Source organism: Homo sapiens, chromosome 9 (assembly GCF_000001405.40).
Source record: "Homo sapiens chromosome 9, GRCh38.p14 Primary Assembly".
Classification (NCBI taxonomy): domain Eukaryota; kingdom Metazoa; phylum Chordata; class Mammalia; order Primates; family Hominidae; genus Homo; species Homo sapiens.
The window spans coordinates 35,523,843-35,544,872 of record NC_000009.12 but is presented as its reverse complement, the minus strand read 5'-3'; the positions used below and the strand labels follow the sequence as shown (position 1 = coordinate 35,544,872).

The following is a 21,030-nucleotide window of genomic DNA, read 5'->3' as shown; positions in this document are numbered from 1 at the left end:
GAAGAAAACATAGGAGTAAATCTTTGTTATCTTGGATTAGGTGATGGTTTCTTAGATATGACACCAAAGGCACAAGTGACAAAAGAAAAAACATAAATTGGACTCCATAAGAACCAAAAACTTTTGTGCTTCAAAGGATACCACCAAGAAAGTGAAAAGACAATCCATAAAATGGGAGAAAATATTTGCAAATCATATACCTGATAAAAGACTTCTAATCAGAATATATAAAGAACTCTTACAACTCAACAATAAAAAGACATACGAGGCTGGGCACAGTGGCTCACGCCCGTAATCCTAACACTTTGGGAGGCCGAGGTGGGAGAATCATGAGGTCAGGAGACAGAGACCATCCTGGCCGACATGGTGAAATCCCATCTCTACTAAAAATATAAAAATTAGCTGGGCGTGGTAGTGCATGCCTGTAATCCCAGCTACTTGGGAGGCTGAGGCAGGAGAATCGCTTGAACTAGAGAGTCAGAGGTTGCAGTGAGCTGAGATCATGCCACAGCACTCCAGCCTGGTGACAGAGTGAGACTCTGTCTCAAAAAAAAAAAAAAAAAAAGACATATGATCCAGTTTAAGACAGGGCAAACAGTATGAATAGGCATTTCTCTGAAGAAGACATACAAGTGTCTAACCAGCACATGAAAAGATGTTCAACATCATTAGTCATTAGAGTAATAAAAATCACAATGAGATACTACTTCACTCCAGCTGGGAGGGATAAAATAAGAAATACAGACAATAACAACTAGCAAATGTTGATGATGATATGAAGAAACTGGAACCCTGAAACATTGCCGGGAGTATTGTAAAATGGTGCAGCTACTTTGGAAAAGTCTGACAGTTTATCAAAATGTTAAACATAGTGTCATCACATGACCCAGCAACTGCACTCCTGGGTATATACCCAAGAAAAATGAAAACATATGTTCACACTAAAGCTTGTACACAAATGTTCATAACAGCATTATTCACAGTAGCCAAAAAATTGGGCACAATCGAAGCCAGTCACAAAGGGCTTTTGTGATGTTGTATGATTCCATTTATATGAAATGTCCAGAATAGGCAAATCCATAGAAATAGAATGTCCTGAAATCAGGCCAGGCGTGGTGGCTCATGCCTGTAATCCCAGCACTTTGGGAGGCTGAGGCGGGCGGATCATTTGAGGTCAAGAGTTCAAGACCAGCCTGGCCAACATGGTGAAGCCCTGTCTCTACTAAAAATACAAAAATTAGCCAGGTGTTTGTCACCATTTTTGTAAATAAACATGTCTGTATGCATAGAAGAAAATCTGTAACATGCAACAAACTGTTACCAGTGCCTATCACTGTTGAATGATTTGGATTATTTTTAATTTTATTCTTTTTGCTTCAGCTGTATTTTCTAATTTGTATGTAATAAATACCCATTTTATGCATAATTTAAGCAATTTTTTTCTTTTTTTTGAGACAGGTTCTCACTCTATCACCGAGGCTGGAGTGCAGTGGTGCGATCATGGCTCACTGCAGCCTCAGCCTCTTGGACTCAAGTGATCCACCTCAGCCTCCTGAGTAGCTAGGACCACAGGTGTGTGCCACCACGCCTGGCTAATTTCTGTATTTTTTGTAGAGACATGGTTTCTCCATGTTGCCAAGGCTGGTCTTGAACTCTTGGGCTCAAGTTATCCACCTGCCTTGGCCTTCCAAAGTGCTAGGATTACAGATGTGAGCCACCATGCCGGGCCTAAACAATTTTTTTTCTTTGAGGGGGTTTCTCCTTTCATACATAACTACGTTTCCCCTGGAGTCCTGGCCATAATCCCGAGTCTGGACTAAAAGGAGCATAGAGAACTTTCTTACATAGATAGCAGTAATTTTAGGGGTACCTATGGGTTGCAGCCATCACTGACCTTCAATGAGTACCTTTTCTTCCTTTTTAAAGCATTTTCAAGAGGCATTCACAAGTATCACATAAAAGAATGTATGATTCTGCCACAAAACCATTACCAGGACATACATGCATTAATATGGAAAAACTGATGTACAGATACAGAATGCAGAAAGCTGACTCTCTAAATCAGAGATGAAGAACACATGAGCGTGGGAGATGACGGAGCCCTTGGCTGGAGGGCACTGACAATTGTATTGTAATGTGATGTTGACATATCTATCTCCCAGACTGGAGCACAGTTCTGAGGTTGGAGACTGCAATACAGTGAACTCTGTGCTTGGAACACAGTAGGTGCCTGGTTATTTGTTGACTACTTTTCCCATTAAAATAACCTGAGTTGTTAGTCTTTTTATGATTGAATTATAGGAGTTTTAACATTTATTCTGGATACAAGTCCTCTGTCAGATATATGCCTCATGAATATTTTCTCTCAGCCTGTGGCTTGTCCCTGTTTTCTTAACTGTGTTTTTTGATAAATAGTTTTTAATTTATTAAATTTAAATTGATCAATTGATCAACTGATCATAGAGTTTGTTTCTCTATGGTTAAATCTTTCTGTATCCTAAGAAATCTTTACCTGTCCTAAGACCATAAAGAAATGTACCTATGTTTTCTTCTAAAAGCTGTATAGTTGTAGCTTTTACATTTAGGTTGTATTGAATCCTACTTTAACTGTCAAGCTCTTTCACTGATTGATTTCATTTTATTTTATGCTTTTGTATCTCAGAGAAGATCTTATTCCTTTCTGATCTCCACACAACCAAGAGAAAGGCCGAGCAATGGCTCCTCCATAGACGATTCCAATTCAGCCATCTAAGGGGAAGTTCTCCAGGCATCTCATGAGATTTTGTACTCATGCTTTGCCCACCCCATTCACATTTACTTACAAGGCACTTTTTATGTATGCATATCTTACTGATCCTTACATCAACTTCCAAAGGAGGCAGAGCCATCTTCATTTTTAAAAATAAGGAATTATTTTTATATTTATAAAATTTTAAAAAATGTTATATGATATAAAAATAATTTAAAAAAATTTTATATATATAAAAATTTTAAAATAATTATACACCCAGAAAAATGAAATGACTTGCCCAAGACCACTCAGTGAATAAATAACAGAATTAAGATGAGACTCAGGAATCCTAACTTTTGATCTTTTTTCTTGGTCAGTTAAGAATATAATGAGAGTAGACCTAGCATGGGGGCTCACACCTGTAATCCCAGCACTTTGGGAGGCTGAGGCAGGTGGATCATGAGGTCAAGAGATTGAGAACATCCTGGCCAACATGGTGAAACCCTGTCTTTACTGAAAATACAAAAATTAGCTGGGTGTGGTGGCACGCTCCTGTAATCCCAGCTACTTGGGAGGCTGAGGCAGGAGAATTACTTGAACCCAGGAGGCGGAGGTTGCAGTGAGCCGAGATCGTGCCACTGCACTCCAGCCTGGGCGACAAAGCGAGAGTCTGTCTTAAAAAAAAAAAATGAGAGTAAACTGTACATATGACACCACAGAGAACATTTACTGAGAGCGTATCTCAGGCTCCTTTCCTGGGAGTGACTTTTTCTACATCAAGACAAGTGGCCCATCCCCTCTAATGAAGGTGAAGAGAAAACAGTGAGCTGGAAGAGCTCATTTCAGACTTTTTCTGCCCTGACTAAATGGAGAGACATGGAAGATGAGGATGGGGGAGAAACAGAGGATCCAGAATAAGAAGAAAGTAGAAGACAGCTCTTTCAGAAGATGAGCCCTCTAGCTATGCCTACCAGGTAGAGTGGAATGGTGGGCTCAGCCAGTATAAAGTTATGAGGTCATGCTCTCCAAAATCAGGAAAAGCTTTCTATGAGAGCCCTTTTCCTGGCCCTTGTCCCAAATGGGTGTCTCTTGTCCTATTATAATACTATAAGTGATCATTTATTAAACACTTATGTGCCATTAATTTATATATATCATCTCTAAATGTACTGTAACATTTTTAAGTAGGCATAATCCTTCCCATTGTAAAGATGAGAAAACCAAAGCTTAGAGTGTGTAAGTAGTTTGTCCACATTTACACATCTGAGATGGGATTCAATCCCAGGTCTGCCCAATTTGTAATTATTTCCACTACAACGGCCTTCCAAAGAAAATGATTGGGGCCACACCCTCTTCCTAAAGTCCTTGCAATTACTCTGCTCCCAGAGCATCTGCTTCCTACCTGTCCTGGGTAGACCCACATTTCAGCCTCCATTTACACAGGTTATGTCTACCGGCCTCTCTATTCTATGAACCTACAGTCCCTTTCATACTGTCCCCAGGCTATGATAACACTTGCCAATCCCACCTCCTGCCCCAGTTCCCAGCCCTCATCTCCCTGCCCCATTCATGGTCTCAAGGCTCATTATTCCCTGCTCTTGTGGTTCACATTCCTAGACACTTCCTGGGAACAAATACACTCCCATAACTATCCAGCATATTCCTTAACCATATAGTTGCACAACATGGCACTACTGTCTCCTATTATCCTATGTTTTTGAACCCTCTACCAAGGTGGTTATTAGAAATGGGAATTTTTTTACAATTATTTTTTACAGACAGAGTCTAGCTTTGTTGCTTAGGCTACAGTGCAGTGATGCGATCATAGCTCACTGCACCTTGAACTCCTGGGCTCAAGTGATCCTCCCACCCAGCCTCCTTAGTAGCTGGGACTACAGGTGCACACCACAATGCCTGGCTAATTTTTAAATTTTTTGTAGAGACAGGGTTTCACCATGTTGCCCAGGCTGGTCTCAACTCCTAGGCTCAAGTGATCCTCCCATCCCAGCCTCTCAAAGTGCTGGGATTACAGGTGTGGAAATGGGAATTTAGGGAACTCTTTCTACCTGCTCAGCAATGGAGCAACTCTGGGCGGGAAAACCCCAGAAAGAAGGTTTCCTCTAGCTTTGGTCATCAGTGTCTTTCTGCCAGTCATAGAACCCCTTCCCTCTTTTTTGGCCTTCTGAATAAAGATGGGGAACACAATGGTCTTCAATTGCTCTTCTCTAGCAATCTGACCTTGACTTGAGATCCTGATAAGGTGCCTCTGTAGGACTGATAACGCTTTTCCTGACTGGTCCTCTCCTGGGTAGGATCAAAGGGAGGAGGGCAGGAGGGTAGATTTGGGAGTGTTAGCTTATGCTTAGGTCTCTTCTTGAAGGCTTACTGTAACAGATCAGGTGCCCTAGGCATTACAATGACTGTCCCTGCCCCTGCCAGACACTGTGGGGCACCCTGGTCAATGTTTTCTTACTCCACCCTTACCTGGAGCCTGGTGGCTCCCATAGCACCAGAAGATATGGTATGTGTGTCTATGTGCATGTATAGCTATGTGCATGCATGCATGCATGTATGTATGTATGTGTGTGTGTGGAGAGAAAGGTTTCCCAGCCCTCCTCTTGAAAGCTGCGAGGATCCTTGCATGTTCTCCATCATAAACTTACAGTAGCTGTAGGGGTGTCTCCTCCTATTAAGCCTTTGTTTCTAGATCTGACTCCCCCATCCCTGACCCATACTAGAAGCTTCATTAGAAATGCCCAAAAAGGAAGGATGAGATCTGCTTCTTGACAAAATAGCATAAATGGCATTAGCCCAAGCCTTGGCTTTTCCCCATCTCTGCACCATAGCCCAAATGTATGCAATGAGCTTGTCTAATGCTTGTGCTTCCGCATGTTCCCCCCTTTATCCCCCCCCGCACCGCCCCCCTCTCCCTTTTGGAAAGACAAAGCCAACCCTCAGAAGCCAGGGCCCAAATGTGCTGATCGGTATCCTAGCATCTCTGCCCTGCCCCTCCCCCAGCTCCCTGAGCCATACCTCTGTCAGGAGCCTTGAGCTGGACCCCTGATGCGTCTGTCCCTTTTGCACTCCGACCAAGCTCTACCGCGACAGTTCCAGCTGAGACACTGTTCCACGGGATCACACAGGGGAACTGGGCCGATTTCCTAAGATCTGATTTCTGCTAATACAATGGCATCGTTGCTAATGCAGGGAGGCTGCGCAATCCCAGCCCCAGTCTCCGTGCTGCTGCCGCGGCTGCTGGTGCTGCGGTGACGTTGCTGCTAAGGGAAGGGGGAAGGGAAAGGAGCAGGCAGGCCCACAGCACAGCCACTCAGCCTCCCTCCCTTCCAGCCCCTGTGGGCCCTTTAGCCTAGGGAAGGGGGAGGGTAGAGAAAGGAGCCAGCCACAGAGGGCAGTCAGTGCTGGAAGATGGAGCACTCTTAAGACAGCAAAGGAAAAATGGGGAGAGTTGTGTCTAGCTCCTCTTTTGTCCTTAGGCATCTCAGGGAAGATGTCTGGGCAGAGCCTTGGAGCTTCCTTCCTTCCTTCCTTCTTTAGGCTCCTCCTTTCATATCTTAACCAGAAACCTCTCCCTCCTCTTTTTGCCCATTGTGAATGACTCTGTTTTCCAGCTTTTTCCTCTAACCAGGATTCCAGACTAGCCTCAGGGTGGGGCAGTCAGCCTGGGAGGGGATTCCTGAAGCCCAGAAGGGAGGCTGCAGGGACCAGTCACCATTCTGCCAGCAGTAACTCGAACTCAGTCCTGGTGGATGGCCCACGAGTCTTAGCACTGGCCTTCCTAGAGAGACGGGGCGGTAGACAGGCTTCTGTACACTGGGTGGTGGTAAGTCTTAAGGACCATGGAGGCTGCAGGCCCTCTTCCTAACACGGTATTCAATTCAGTTCCCTGGGTCTTCAGAGGTCTACTCGCTGTGGCTGAAGTAGAACTGGCCCCTCTCACATACATCAGTTCTCGGTCAGTGCTCAGCTGGGTCCAGCTGGGTTTGTGTGAAGGCAGAATCCCTCTAGCCAGGCTGAGAGGCCAGGAAGCTTATCTCCCCAGGGAAAGGAAGGCAGGGAACAGGGAGTGGTCTCTCCTAGGCCACAGAAAAATCTCAGTTCTGCCTGGAGACCTACAGAGTCCTCTGCTCCTTCCCTGCTCCAGCCTCCTCAGGTTCTGGGCCAATTCTGTGGGAATAAGGAAAAAAGGGAGAAACTGCAGCTAGAGCCAGTTGTACAGGAAGTAGCGGTGAGGTCTCCGTCCACTTTGTGCCACTGCTCCCTGCTGCTACGCTTGAACACAGAGATAGTCTTAAGCAGGGCTTGGTCCCCAAACACTAGCCCTGCCTAGGGTTCCTCCCAAGGTGACTACTATCTGGACTCCACAGCCTGCCCTTGGATTTCAGGTCCTTAGAAAGAAGCCTTTGGAGAAACCACTGGCCAAGACCATAACAGCTATCCCTCAGGATCCAGAAGAGATGTAACTTTTCTTTTCCTTTCTTGTTTCTCCTATTCCCTGTGACACCCATGTGTCCACTGACACCATGCTGAGCTGAGTCAATTGTAGAGAGAAGAACAAAAACACACAAAGACACAAAGACCCATCTCCAGCCTTGACTTGTTTGAGCAGCCATGGCCCCTTGATCCTATAAAGCAAGAAACAGTGAGGAAAGGAAGGAAGGAGGGAGGCTGCTGTTCATAGCCAACCATTAGCGGTCATCTCAAGGAGGCTGAAAGGTGAGGAAATGGTGTCACTATGCTTTCCTCTCGCCTAGCTGATACCACAAAGCGGGGTTGGATAAGCATCTGTAGGTTAGGGCAGAGTGAATCTTCATGACCAAGCGTTTGGAGTTCGAGCCTCTTACCATGAGAGCTCTGGGCCCAGGGTCTTTGACTCTGAAATTTCTGCGAGGCTAAGTCATGCATTGTGCTGGACAGCCAGTGCTTCCAGTTGCCTATGGAAGGTGGCAGCTCTCAGACCTCTAGTGCTTGGCTTAATTCACTACATCACAGACAACCTTGCCACTTACTTCCTAACCACTACTGCCAAAGATCTAGGGTTTTGAGGAAAGATCAAATTATTTTCCAGCCAGAAACAAAACACAAATACTGTTACATTATAAACCTCGGCCACCTAACTAGTCTCCCCACTTGCAATTTACTTTTTAGTACTACCAGATTCATCTCCCTAAAGCACCACCTTTCTTCAACATGCCACTCCTCCTGCCCCTTTTAATGGTTTCTCATTACCCAGAGAATCAAGTTGAGCCTCCTCATTTTGGCTTTAGAGGTCATCCATCTCGGCTGTCTATTCTTTTTTTTTTTTTTTTTTTTTTGAGTTTCACTCTTGTCATCCAGGCTGGAGTGCAGTGGCGCGATCTTGGCTCACTGCAACCTCTGTCTCCCAGGATCAAGTGATTCTCCTGTCTCAGCCTCCCGAGTAGCTGGGATTACAGGCACCTGCCACCATGCCCCGGCTAAGTTTTTTACTTTTAGAAGAGACGGGGTTTTGCCATGTTGGCCAGGCTTGTTTTGAACTCCTGACCTCAGGTGATCCACCCGCCTCAGCCTCCCAAAGTGCTGGGATTACAGGTGTGAGCCACCGTGCCCAGCCTTGGCTGTCTACTCTACTCCACTCAACCTTGCCTTCCCATCATGCAGTCCTTGAAACATGTTTCAGAAACTCATTTCCACTCTGTTGTATTTGTTCATTCAGACTCTCCTTCCTGTTACACTTGGCCCTGTTCAAAATTATCCAAACCTACCAGACCCAGAGCAACTCCTCCATCAAGTCTTCTCTGATTACCCCAGAGCCAGAAATAATCTGTTCTCCGAACCAGTGGTTGCAGGTTGTTGATTTTACAGACAAGAAAACAACTTCCACAAAAAACGGGGATCAATATTGGATTGCCAACTTCTTATATTGTCAAGTAGGATCATTACAAAAAACTTTACTTTGATGATCATCATTTTATAAGAAAAAGCATACTGTACTTTCTCATTGCATTGCATATTGATGGCAAACTTCATCAGCAATAGCATCGGTCCCTGAGAAGTTTTGATTAAGTAAATCATGTCACTTAACATGGTTATTGTTCTTTTTTGCATATCTGCCTTAACATCTCTTCTAGACTGCAAAGTCGGAGTTATAGTCATCTGTACATCTCCATTATCCAGTATATAAGAATATCATTTTAATTTTGTATTTCCCATAAAACCTAGCATACTGCTTGGCATATAGAAGGTGTCTTATGCTTGGCATATGGAAGTCTTGTTGAACAAGAATAATCTAAAAAGAGATGCTTGGCCGGGCACGGTGGCTCATGCCTGTAATCCCAGCACTTTGAGAGGCCGAGGCGGGCAGATCACGAGGTCAGGAGATTGAGACCATCCTGGCTAACACAGTGAAACTCCGTCTCTACTAAAAATACAAAAAAAATTAGCCGGGCGTGGTGGTGGACGCCTGGAGTCCCAGCTACTCAGCAAGCTGAGGCAGGAGAATGGCGTGAACCCAGGAGGCAGAGCTTGCAGTGAGCCAAGATGGCGCCACTGCACTCCAGCCTGGGCTACAGAGCAAGAGACTCCGTCTCAAAAAAAAAAAAAAAAAAAAGAGAAGCTCCTTGTGTGTAAATCAGAATAAGTGGTGGGTAGACTTGACTCAATAGGCTTGAAAGAGAAGACTGTTTTCCATGTGAAAAAAAAAAAAATCTATCAAAAAGAAGCTTAGGCGGCCGGGAGCGGTGGCTAATGCCTGTAATCCTAGCACTTTGGGGGGCCGAAGCGGGCAGATCACCTGAGGTCAGGAGTTCAAGACCAGCCTGGCCAACATGGTGAAACCTTGTCTCTACTAAAAATACAAAAATTAGCGGGGTGTGGTGGTGGGCACCTGTAACCCCAGCTATTCGGGAGGCTGAGGCAGGAGAATCACTTGAACTCAGGAGGTGGAGGTTTCAGTGAGCCGAGATTGCACCATTGCACTCCAGACTGAGCAACAGGAGTGACACTCCATATCTAAAAAAAAGAAGCTTAGGCAACAAAGAAGTAATTCTTCATAACCTAGGGTTAGGCAACACATTCTTAGACATGATATCAAAAATACAAGTGACAAAAGAAAAAAACAGAAAAACTTTGACTTCCTGCTGGCAAAATGAAAAAATAAAAAAAAAAACATAAACTGACTTCATAAAAATTTAAAACTTTTGTTCTTCAAAGGACACAATCAAGATAGTCAAAAGAAAACCCACAGAATGTGAGAAAATTTGCAGATCATATATCTGATAAGGGATTTCTATCCAGAATATATTTAAAAACACTTACAACTCAGTAATAAAAAGACAATCCAATTTTTAAATGGGCAAAGGGGGCCAGGCATGGTGGCTCACACCTGTAATCCCAGAGCTTTGGGAGGCCAAGGCAGGCAGATCACTTCAGGTCAGGAGTTCGAGACCAGCCTGGCCAACATGGCAAAACCTGTCTCTACCAAAAAAATACAAAAATTAGCTGGGTGTGATGGTGCACACCTGTAATCCCAGCTACTCGGGAGGCTAAGGCACAAGAGGTGCTTGAACCTGGGAGGCAGAGGTTGCAGTGAGCTGAGATCGCACCCCTGCACTCCAGCCTGGGTGACAGAGTGAGAACCTGTCTCAAAAAAATAAATAAGTAAATAAATAAAAACGAGCAAAGGATTGTGTGTGTGTGTGTGTGTGTGTGTGTGTGTGTGTGTGTATTATTTGTAGAGATGGGGGTCTCACTCTGTTGCCCAGGCTGGTCCAAAACTCCTGAGCTCAAGTGATCCTCCTGCTTCGGCTTCCCAAAGTGCTGGGATTACAGGCATGAGCCACCATGCCTGGCTGGGCAAAGGATTTGAATAAACATTTCCCCAAAGAAGACACACAAATGGTCAACAAGTACTTATATAAACAAATGCTTAACATCATTAATCATTAGGCAGTACAAATCAAAACTAAAGTGAGATACTACTTGACCCCACTAGAATGGCTAAAATAAAAAAAGGCAGGCAATCACACATGTTGACAATGATGTGTAGAAATTGGAACCCTCACACATTGCTGAGGGCACTGTAAAATGGTGCAACCACTTTGGAAAAGAGTTCTGGCAGTTTCTCAAAAAGTTAAAGAGTTACTATTTGACCCCAGCAATTCTGCTTCTAGGTATATACCTACGAGAAACAAAAAACATCCACACAGAAGCTTGTATATGAGTATTCCTAGTAGCATTATTCATGATAGTCAAAAACTAGGAGCAACCAAAATGTTCATCAACAGAAGAAGGGATAAATAAAAGGTGGTACACACAATGAATTATTATTGAGCAATAAAAGGGAATGAAGTCCTGATAAATGCTCCAACATGGATGAACCTTGAAAACATGCTAGGTGAAAGAAGAAACACAGAAGGTCACATATTGTTTCATTCCATTTACATGATATGTCCAGACAAGGCAAATCTATAGAGACAAAAAGTAGATCAGTGGCTGCCAGAGGCTGGAGAGGCAGAGAGATGGGGAGTGCCTGCTAATGGGTGTGGGGTTTCTTTTGGGAATGATGAAATGTTCCAAAATTAGACTACAGTCATAGTTGCACAACTGTGAATATACTAAAACAATTGAATTGTATACTTTAAATGGCAAAATGTATGGTATGTCAATTATATTTCAATAAAGCTGTTAAAAACAGTGGCAGTTGCTGTAGGAGCTTGAGTGGTGTTGCTCAGCTCCACAGAGACTGAAGTCTTTGAGAACCCCATAACTGGGGGTATGGGTGAGAGGTGGAATATCAGGGTACCAGAAAGCAGAGGCTATCACTGCATGTCAATCCAAGGACGTCAGATAGTCCTCTCTTTCTTTTTTCAACACCAAATTCTTCTTTTTTTTTTTTTTGAGACAGAGTCTCGCTCTGTCACCCAGGCTGGAGTGCAGTGGCACGATCTCGGCTCACTGCAACCTCCGCCTCCTGGGTTCAAGCGATTCTCGTGCCTCAGCCTCTCGAGTAGCTGGGATTACAGGCATGCGCCACTATGCTTGGCTAATTTTTGTATTTTTTAGTAGAGATGGGGTTTCGCCATGTTGCCCAGGCTGGTCTCGAACTCCTGAGCTTAAGTGATCTGCTCGCCTAGGCCTCCCAAAGTGCTAGGATTACAGGCGTGAGCCACCACACCCAGCCTCGACACCAAAATTCCTTAACAAATGGACTCTTAAAATTCTCTCTCCACTCTCTCCTTCATTGTTTCTTAACCACCAGAAATCTTTTTTCTAATAACATTTGAAGTGTGTGAAGCAGTTATCATTTTTAACTTATAATATTGGAATCATCCAACACTATCAGCAGTCATCCTTTCCTATTCAACTCCTCTTTTCCCTTTGGCTTTTTTTTTTGAGACATTTAAGACAGTTTCGCTCTGTCACCCAGGCTGGAATGCAGTGGCTGATCTTGGCTCACTGTAACCTCCACCTCCCAGGTTAAAGTGATTCTCGTTCCTCAGCCTCCCAAGTAGCTGGGATTACAGGTGCATGCCACCACACCCAGCTATATTTTTGTGGTTTTGGTAGAGATGGGGTTTCACCATGTTGGCCAGGCTGGTCTTGAACTCCTGAGCTCAAGTGATCTGCCCACCTCGGCCTTGCAAAGTGCTGAGATTATAGGCATGTGCCATCAAACCCAACCCCTTTTGTCTTCTATAAACCAATCCTCCTAGTTCTACTTCTTAGATAATTCTTTCTTCGTTGTTTAATAAAACAATACCTGGCCCATATTTAAATGCAAATTTACAGCAAGGTTCAGATCTGAAGACTTTTCAATCTGAACAGTCTTTAGTACTTCCCATTACCTTTGCCGTTGATTTCCAAATCTTACATTCTTCCTGAACTTCCAGAATCAAATCTCCAATAGCCTATCAGATACTTATTATTACCTCAAATTCAACATATCGAAAACCAAATCGATTTTTAAAATTTCAAATTAGGTCTCTTTGGACTGCCTGTAACACAAACTTGAAAATAAGAGTCATCTGGACTCTCTTTACATTCAGACAACTACCAAGTCATGCTGAGTCTTCCTTCCAATGTTTCGGGCATTGACTTAATTTCTTTTTGTTTTGTTTTTAGACAGAGTCTTGCTCTGTTGCCCAGGCTGGAGTGCAGTGGCATGATCTCTGCTCACTGCAAGCTCTGCCTCCCGGGTTCACACCATTCTCCTGCCTCAGTCTCCCGAGTAGCTGGGACTACAGGCGCCCGCCACCACGCCTGGCTAATTTTTTTGTATTTTTAGTAGAGGAGGGGTTTCACTGTGTTAGCCAGGATGATCTCAGTCTCCTAACCTCGTGATCCGCCTGCCTTGGCCTCCCAAAGTGCTGGGATTACAGGCGTGAACCACCACGCCCAGCCCAACAATTTCCTGTTTTTACTATGTTTCCGCTACTATGCTAAACACTTACTTACATTATCTCATTTAATCCATATAACCACTCTCTAAGCTAAATGTTATTATCCTTACTTCATGAATGAGAAATCTGAGGCTCAGGGATATTAAATAATCTTCCCAATGTAACTCAGTCAGTAAATGTCTAAGCTGGGACTCAGATAAAGACCTGTCTGATTCCAGAGTCAGTATTCTTAACCACTTCCTCTATTGCCTCTCCAGTTCCTATCCCTACTCTATCCTCCAAATTCAGGCCTGTATTACCTCTCCTCTGAATTATATAGTCTTCTAACTAGTTTTCTTACCTTCGTTGTCTCTTGGTTCCCAGCTATCACATATACAGGCACAAGGGTAATCTCCTCAACTTCCTTCAGCAAGTCACTCTACTACTAAAACATCTTCAGTGGCTCCCTGCTGCCTACAGGATAAATCCAAATTCTTTTTTTTTTGAGAGAGAGTCTTGCTCTGTCGCCCAGGCTGGACTGCAGTGGTGCGATCTCAGCTCACTGCAAGCTCCGCTTCCCAGGTTCATGCCATTCTCCTGCCTCAGCCTCCCGAGTAGCTGGGACTACAGGTACCCGACACCAAGCCCGGCTAATTTTTTTGTATTTTTTAGTGGAGACGGGGTTTCACCATGTTAGCCAGGATGGTCTCCATCTCCTGACCTCGTGATCCACCCGCCTCGGCCTCCAAAAGTGCTGGGATTACAGGCATGAGCTACTGCTCCCAGCCCCAAATTCTTTAATGTGGCGTTCAAAGTTCCTTTCTACCAGCCAGGCGCAGTGGCTCACACCTGTAATCCCAGCACTTTGGGAGGCTGAGGCAGGCAGATCACTTGAGGTCAGGATTTCGAGACCAGCCTGGCCAACGTGGTGAAACCCTGTCTCTACAAAAATACAAAAATTAGCCAGGTGTGGTGGTGTGTGTGTGTAATCCCAGCTGCTTGGGAGGCTGAGGCAGGATAATCACATGAACCCAGGAGGCAGAGGTTGCAGTGAGCAGAGATCGCACCACTGTACTCCAGCCTGGGCGACAGAGTGAGACCCAGTCTCATAAAAAACAGAAACAAAAAACAACCAAAAAACCCCCAAAATTCCTTTCTACCTATCCAACCCCATTCCCGTCACATGCCGAATATACTCTGAGTTTTGGCTTTACTCACTGGGAAGATATCTGGATTGTTTTCCCCATTCCCTCCCACCCTTCATTTTAAGGATGTGGCTCAAATTCTACCATATCTGGAAGCTTTTCTTTATCATGGAAATCCTTCTCCTATACTTCAATACCAATTATACGTACAACTCATTTGGTATCAAGACTTGGCCATTTTATTATCTCTTGATGACGGTACATTTCTAGATGGTGGAGCTGTGTCTTATACATTGATAGGTAATTCTGAGCACAGGGCCTTGGCACATAGTGGAGGACCAATGATGTTTGATAAAGCTACTGAATGGCTGGCCAGGTAGGGTGGCTCACACCTGTAATCCCAGCATTTTGGGAGGCTGAGGTGGACGGATTGCTTGAGCTTATGAGTTGATACCAGCCTCGGCAACATGGTGAAACCCCGTCTCTACAAAAAATACAAAAATTAGCTGGGTGTGCTGGTGTGCACCTGTAGTCCTAGCTACTTGGGAGACTGAGGTGGGAGGAAGGCTTGAGGCCGGGAAGCAGAGGTTGCGGTGAGTGGAGATTGTGCCACTGCCCTCAAGCCTGGACAACAGAACAAGGCCCAGTCTCAAAAACAAACAAAAACAAAGCTACTGAATGGATGGCAAGCACAGCAGGCTAAATGGAGCCCAGCTGGCTTTGAGAAGGTCAGTCTCTTCTGAGAACAGCATATTTGATGAAGAAGAAGAAGGTAAGGAAGAAGAAAAACTGAAAGCTGAGCCTTAGTAAAGTGCTTAATAAATAAATCTTTAATGCCAAGATCTTAAACCCTTCATTACACACCATGCTCATTCTGAGGATGGAAACATGACTGAGCAGATATGTCTTCAGTCAGTACATTCCCTCCCATTTATATCCAGTCATGACCCTGGAGCAAAGGCTGTAAAGGTTGCAAAGTGCCAGCCTGACTGTCACATCTAGTGTGTCAATAGGTTTACGTGGCTTGCACAGTAAAAATGCCATCATAAACATTAGCAAAGGCTGCAAAGTGACAGACTGACTGTCACATCTAGTATGTCAATAGGTTTTATGTGCTTTGCATAGTAAAAATGCCACCATAAACATTTTGGGGATTTCTAGAAAAAAATCTAGATTTCCAGCTTGTTTTGCTTGAAAAAAAACCAAAAGAACTGGCTACACTAGGCCCTCATTCCTACATGACTAACAATCAGCTGGAGCTGAGAAGTGGTTCCCTTCATTAGATGAGCACGTGACCTTCAGTTTGCCGTGTTCCCAGCACTCCTCATGGCAGCTTCACTGGTTCATTTTACTTATTTGCATTATTTGTCTGGCTCCTATAAGGCATCTGAGTTTGCCAACTCTTGCCCCAGAATAACAGTTATGCATTTTCTTTATATCTCTACCCTCCTTGATTTGCCTCATATTTCCCCAATGATGTTCAATGCAATATTACTTGCAACAGAGAAAAATTGAGAATATTCTAAATATCCAATGGAAAAATGGCTAGTGAGCTACCCATGTAACGGAATATAATAGAACCATTAATATTGGGTATACAAGGTATATTCAATGGTATCGAAAAAGGCTTTTAAGCTAATTTATTTATTTTTTGTTTTCTTTTTTAAACTTTTTACAATTTTTTTTTAAAAATTTTTTTAAAGATGGGGGTCTCATTATGTTGGTCAGGTCTGTCTTGAATTCCTGGCCTCAAGAGAGCCTCCCACTTTGGTCTCCCCAACTGCTGGGATTAAAGGTGTGAGACACCATGCCCGGCCCTTTTAAGCTAATTTAAAAAGTAAAATATCAGTGCTTTGAGAGACTGAGGAGAGAAGACTGCTTGAGCCTAGAAGTTCAAGACCAGCCTGGGCAATAAAGCGAGACACTGTCAACACAAAAATTTAAAAATTAGTTGGATGTGGTGGCACATGCCTATGGTCCTAGCTACTTGGGAGGCTAAGGTAGGAGGCTGACTTGAACCCAGGACTTTTGGGCTCCAGTGAGCTATGATAGCGTCACTGCACTCCAGCCTGGGTGACAGAGCGAAACTCCATCTCAAAAAAAAAAAAAAGGTATCAAATCGCATAAAGAGAATTCTGCTTCCCACATTATGGTAATCAAGACATTACAGGGCCCCTTTCACTGCAAAATATGAAAAATATGAGATCCTGTATAATATATACTTTTTTTTTTTTAAAGGAATAGGGTCTCACTCTGTCACCCAGGCTGGAGTGCAGTGGCCCAATCATAGCCCGCTGCAACCTTGAGTTGGGCTCAAGCAATTCTCCTGCCTCAGCCCCCACAAGTAGGTGGGACTACAAGCATGTGCCACCATGCCTGGCTAATGTTTAAATTTTTTGTAGAGATGGCATCTTGCTATGTTGCCCAGGCTGATCTTGAACTTCCGGCCTCAAGGAATCCTCCTGCCTCAGCCTTCCAAAGCGCTGGGATTATAGGCATGAGCCACAGTGCCTGGGCAATATATACTTTTAAAAGCATTTCAGGTCTCTCAGTATATAGGAGACATCTCTGTGACTACTCTACCCAATTCCCCAAAAAGGGAAAAATTCATGAGCTATGCAGTAAGCAAGGGGGAGAACCAGGGTTCCTTGTCAGCCAATTCCCAGAGCATCACTGCAGCCAAGATGACCATACTTGAGCCACTGGGAAGGTGAGGGAGCTAAACCTGAGAGTTCTGCATTAAGCAGAAACAGGGAAGCCTGAAGGAAGTTCATCATGATCCATGGTAGGTGGTGTTCCACAGCTTTTGGTAGAAGCAGATATGAATCTTCTCTGGGGGAAAATATTTCCCAATCTAAGTCAACAAAATTCTCAAAATTAAAGATCAAGAAAAATTAGTTTATAATTAATGATCACAAAGATGCCATGAGCAAATAACAGAGAAAACAATAAATAATGTATTTAGATTGCAAGAACTTCAGATACCAAAAATGTCAGTTACAGAATATAAATCAGCTATGTGTGAAATGTTTTAAAATAAAAGATAAATCTCAAAGGTAAGCGAGTGGCAATGAATTATTAGAAATAACCAGGCAGATCTGAAAAAGAACGAAATATGTTCAGAAGTTAGAAACATAATTATTAAAATAAAAACTCAGCCAGGTGCAGTGACTTACACCTGTAATCCCAGCACTTTGGGAGGCTGAGGCAGGAGGATTGCTTGAGGCCAGGAATTTGGTAAGAGCCTGGGCACCATAGCAAGACTCTGTCACTAGATACATACACATGTACATACATATGCAAGCAAGCAAGCAAGCAAGCAGAATGTGGTGGTGCACACCTGTAGTCCCAGCTACTTAGAAGGCTGAAGTTAGAGGACTGCTTGAGCCTGGGAGATTGAGGCTAAAGTGAGCCATGAAAGCACTACTGCACTCCAGCCTGGGTGACACAGTGAGACCTTGTCTCAAAAAAGAAAAAAAAAACAACGAAAGGACAAATTTAACAGCAGAAAAGACAAAGTTGAAGTGAGAAATTAGTGAACTGGAAGATCGATCTGAAGAAATCACATAGAAACAGCACAAAAAAACAAAGGAACAGAAAAGTGAATGAGAAGTTAAGAGATAAGATAGAATGAAAATGTTTAATATACTTATAATCAGAATCTTTGGTAGAGAATCAAGGAGAGGTAATATTTGAAGAGATAATGACAGATAATATTTCAGAAGTTATTAGAAAACAAGAATCCATGGATTCAGGAAGTAAAACTATCTCAGGATAAAGAATATCAGTAACAAGTATCTAAACTGTACATCAGCAAAAATTTTTTGTGTGGCTTTTATTTTGTTTTGAGACAGGGTCTCTCTCTTTTGCCCAGGCTGCAGTGGCACCATCCCAGCTCACTGCAACCTTGAACTCCTGGGCTCAAGTGATCTTCCTGCCTTAGCTTCCTAAAGCTCTGGAATTACAGGCATGAGCCACTGTACCCCACACCAAGTAAAATCTGAATGCAATACATTTAATAGTTAACAAGATGAGGTAATATCTGTTTGAGTGTTGTGTAATCCTAGGCCAGTTATCTTGCCTTTCCCTGCCCCCATTTCCTGTAGAATGGTGATGAAAATACCACCAACATTAAGTGAATTAATACTATCAAGCACTTAAATTGTGCCTGACATACAGTAAATACCCAGTAAGTGTGATACTATTATCAAGTGATAAGATGTTGGTTAATATCCAAAACCCCCACAAAGGAGATTACACAATTCTGACCAAAATAGGACGGTAACCTTGGAGAAACATGAAAAGACTGGATATGGATACCTTTCCCCACTCCTCAATCCCAGCATCTTCCAGAACTCAGTAGTGGTCTGGGCAGCTTTCATAAGCAATAGAGAGATCCAGGGTGCTCAAAATAAAGCAGGCATGAATATAAACATTGGTTACTGAGTCTTCCTGTGCCTGGACCAGGCTACTTTATGGGGAGTTGAAGGCTTAGGGGAAACATATGCCCCCTACTATAGATCTGAACAGTGGTCTATTCAAAACAGTACATGAAAGTGCTCTGTAAACTGACCATTTTATAGAAATATAAAGCACTGTTAAAATGCTAGGAACTCACTCTGCATGGCCACCACCCAAGCAGTTGGGACTACAGGCACGTGCCATCACGCCCAGCTAATTTTTGTATTTCTTTTCTTTTTTTTGGTAGATAGGGTTTCATGTTGCCCAGGCTGGTCTCAAACTCCTGAGCTCAAGCAATTCGCCCACCTAGGCCTCACAAAATGCTGGGGTTACAGGCAGAAGCCACCACACCTGGCCTAAAAAATATGTTTAAAGGTGGCTGAGGCTTGCTGGAGTGCAGTGGTGCGATCTCGGCTCACTGCAACCTCCACCTCCTGGGTTCAAGCAATTCTCCTGCCTCAACCTCCCGAGTAGCTGCGACTGCAGGAGTGTGCCTCCACGCCAGGCTAATTTTTGTATTTTTAGTAGAGACGGGGTTTTGCCGTGTAGGCCAGCTGATCTCGAACTCCTGGCCTCAGGTGATCCGCCTGCCTCGGCCTCCCACAGTGCTGGGATTACAGGCATGAGCCACCGTGCTCGACCAAAAATTCTTTTTAAAGGAAAAAAAAAAATAGGGATGTTGGTTAAAGTTTGTAGAAGAAGTAATTAGACACCCAGTCCCCACCAACAACCCTACACTGTCAGGAGACCACTGGTCTCCTGCTCCTCAGGATTACTGGAGATTTATTTCTGGAGAACTTTGAGTGGAACTGCATTCGACTCTGGAAAACAAGGCATGGAAGAAAGCAGGATGAGAGGCCAATCTGAAAACTGAGGGGTTAGGTGAAAATCTCCAAAGAATTGCTAGACTTCTTCCTTCTATTTCAGGATAATACCAACAGCCAGACTTATTTATCCCACCCTACCCCTGGTAGATTATTTCTCTGCAGAAACTGAACTACCTCAGAGAAAAGAATGTCAAATTCTCTGGGGGTTTCCCCACACAAAAAAAGGCCAGCCTGTTCCACCTGCCCACCAGACAAGTTTGCCAGTTGATATATCTTTCCACTCTCACAGAACCTCCAGTGTTTTTAAATGGCTCATTTTTATATCAGTAGCCAAGGGATTACCAGAGTTTTTTTTTTTTTTTGAGATGGAGTCTCGCTCTGTCCCCCAGGCTGGAGTGCAGTGGTGCGATCTTGGCTTACTGCAAGCTCCACCTCCCGGGTTCACGCCATTCTCCTGCCTCAGCCTCCCGAGTAGCTGGGACTACAGGTGCCCGCCACCACGCCCGGCTAATTTTTTGTATTTTTAGTAGAGACGGGGTTTCACCGTGTTACCCAGGATGGTCTCGATCTCCTGACCTTGTGATCCACCCGTCTCGGCCTCCCAAAGTGCTGGGATTACAGGCGTGAGCCACTGCACCCGGCCTGGGATCACCAGACTTTTGAGGGCAGCCTCCAACAGAAAACAAAGAGTACAACAAAAACATAAAATAGGAGTCTGGGAGAAACACATAATGCAGAACAAAACAAGACAAAACCCAACACATGAGGTCATTTTATCACTTTATTGATGATGCTAATTTTGAACTAGTCCTTCGTTAAGATAGTGTCTGTCAGGTTTCTCCATTGTAAAGTTATCATTTTCTCCTCTAATTAATAAGCAATCTATGGAGAGATTACTTTTAGATTAGATAAATAACCTGTTCCCATCAAACTTTCATCCAATCATTTTAGCATCCATTGATGAGTTTCATCTGAATCAGTTATTTACTATGATGGTTGAAAAATGACAGGTTTGTTTTGTTTTGTGTTTTTGAGGCAGAGTCACACCCTGTTGCCCAGGCTGGAGTGCAGTGGCCCTATCTTGGCTCACTGCAACCTCCGTCTCCCACAGCCTCCTGAGGTGCTGGGATTACAGGCATGTGCCCCATGCCTAGCTAATTTTTTGTATTTTTAGCAGAGACAGGTTTCACCATGTTGGCCAAGCTGGTCTCAAACTCCTGGCCTCAAGTGATCCACCCACCTCAGCCTCCCAAAGTGCTGGGATTACAGGCATGAGCCACTGCGCCTGGCCAAAAAATGACAATTTTCTATTATTCCTTCTACATTGATTAGTTGGCATTCTAACATAATAAAGATTTCCCTTTTCCTTCCTTTCTTAATTTATTGATTTAGGATAAATATGGACCCCTGGATTTTAAAAAGTCAGTGGGTCATAATCCATTACTGATTTTGATGTTCAGACTGCCCCAGATTTGGCACTATTTGGCTTA

General features: G+C 43.8%; 1 protein-coding gene across 6 annotated transcripts in view; it reads right to left on the bottom strand.

Moving 5' to 3' along the window:
* Positions 1-21,030, bottom strand: part of RUSC2 (RUN and SH3 domain containing 2) — a 71,785-nt gene that overhangs the window by 17,023 nt on the left and 33,732 nt on the right. Inside the window, exon 2 of one of the 6 annotated variants that reach the window (XM_047424207.1) lies at positions 5,765-6,916. The exons of 4 other annotated variants lie outside the window; for them this stretch is intronic. The gene's annotated coding sequence lies outside the window, so the exon portion shown is untranslated. Of the gene's footprint in view, positions 1-5,764; positions 6,917-21,030 lie in introns of those variants that run through there. One more of the 6 variants, NM_001135999.2, reaches the window with a different exon arrangement.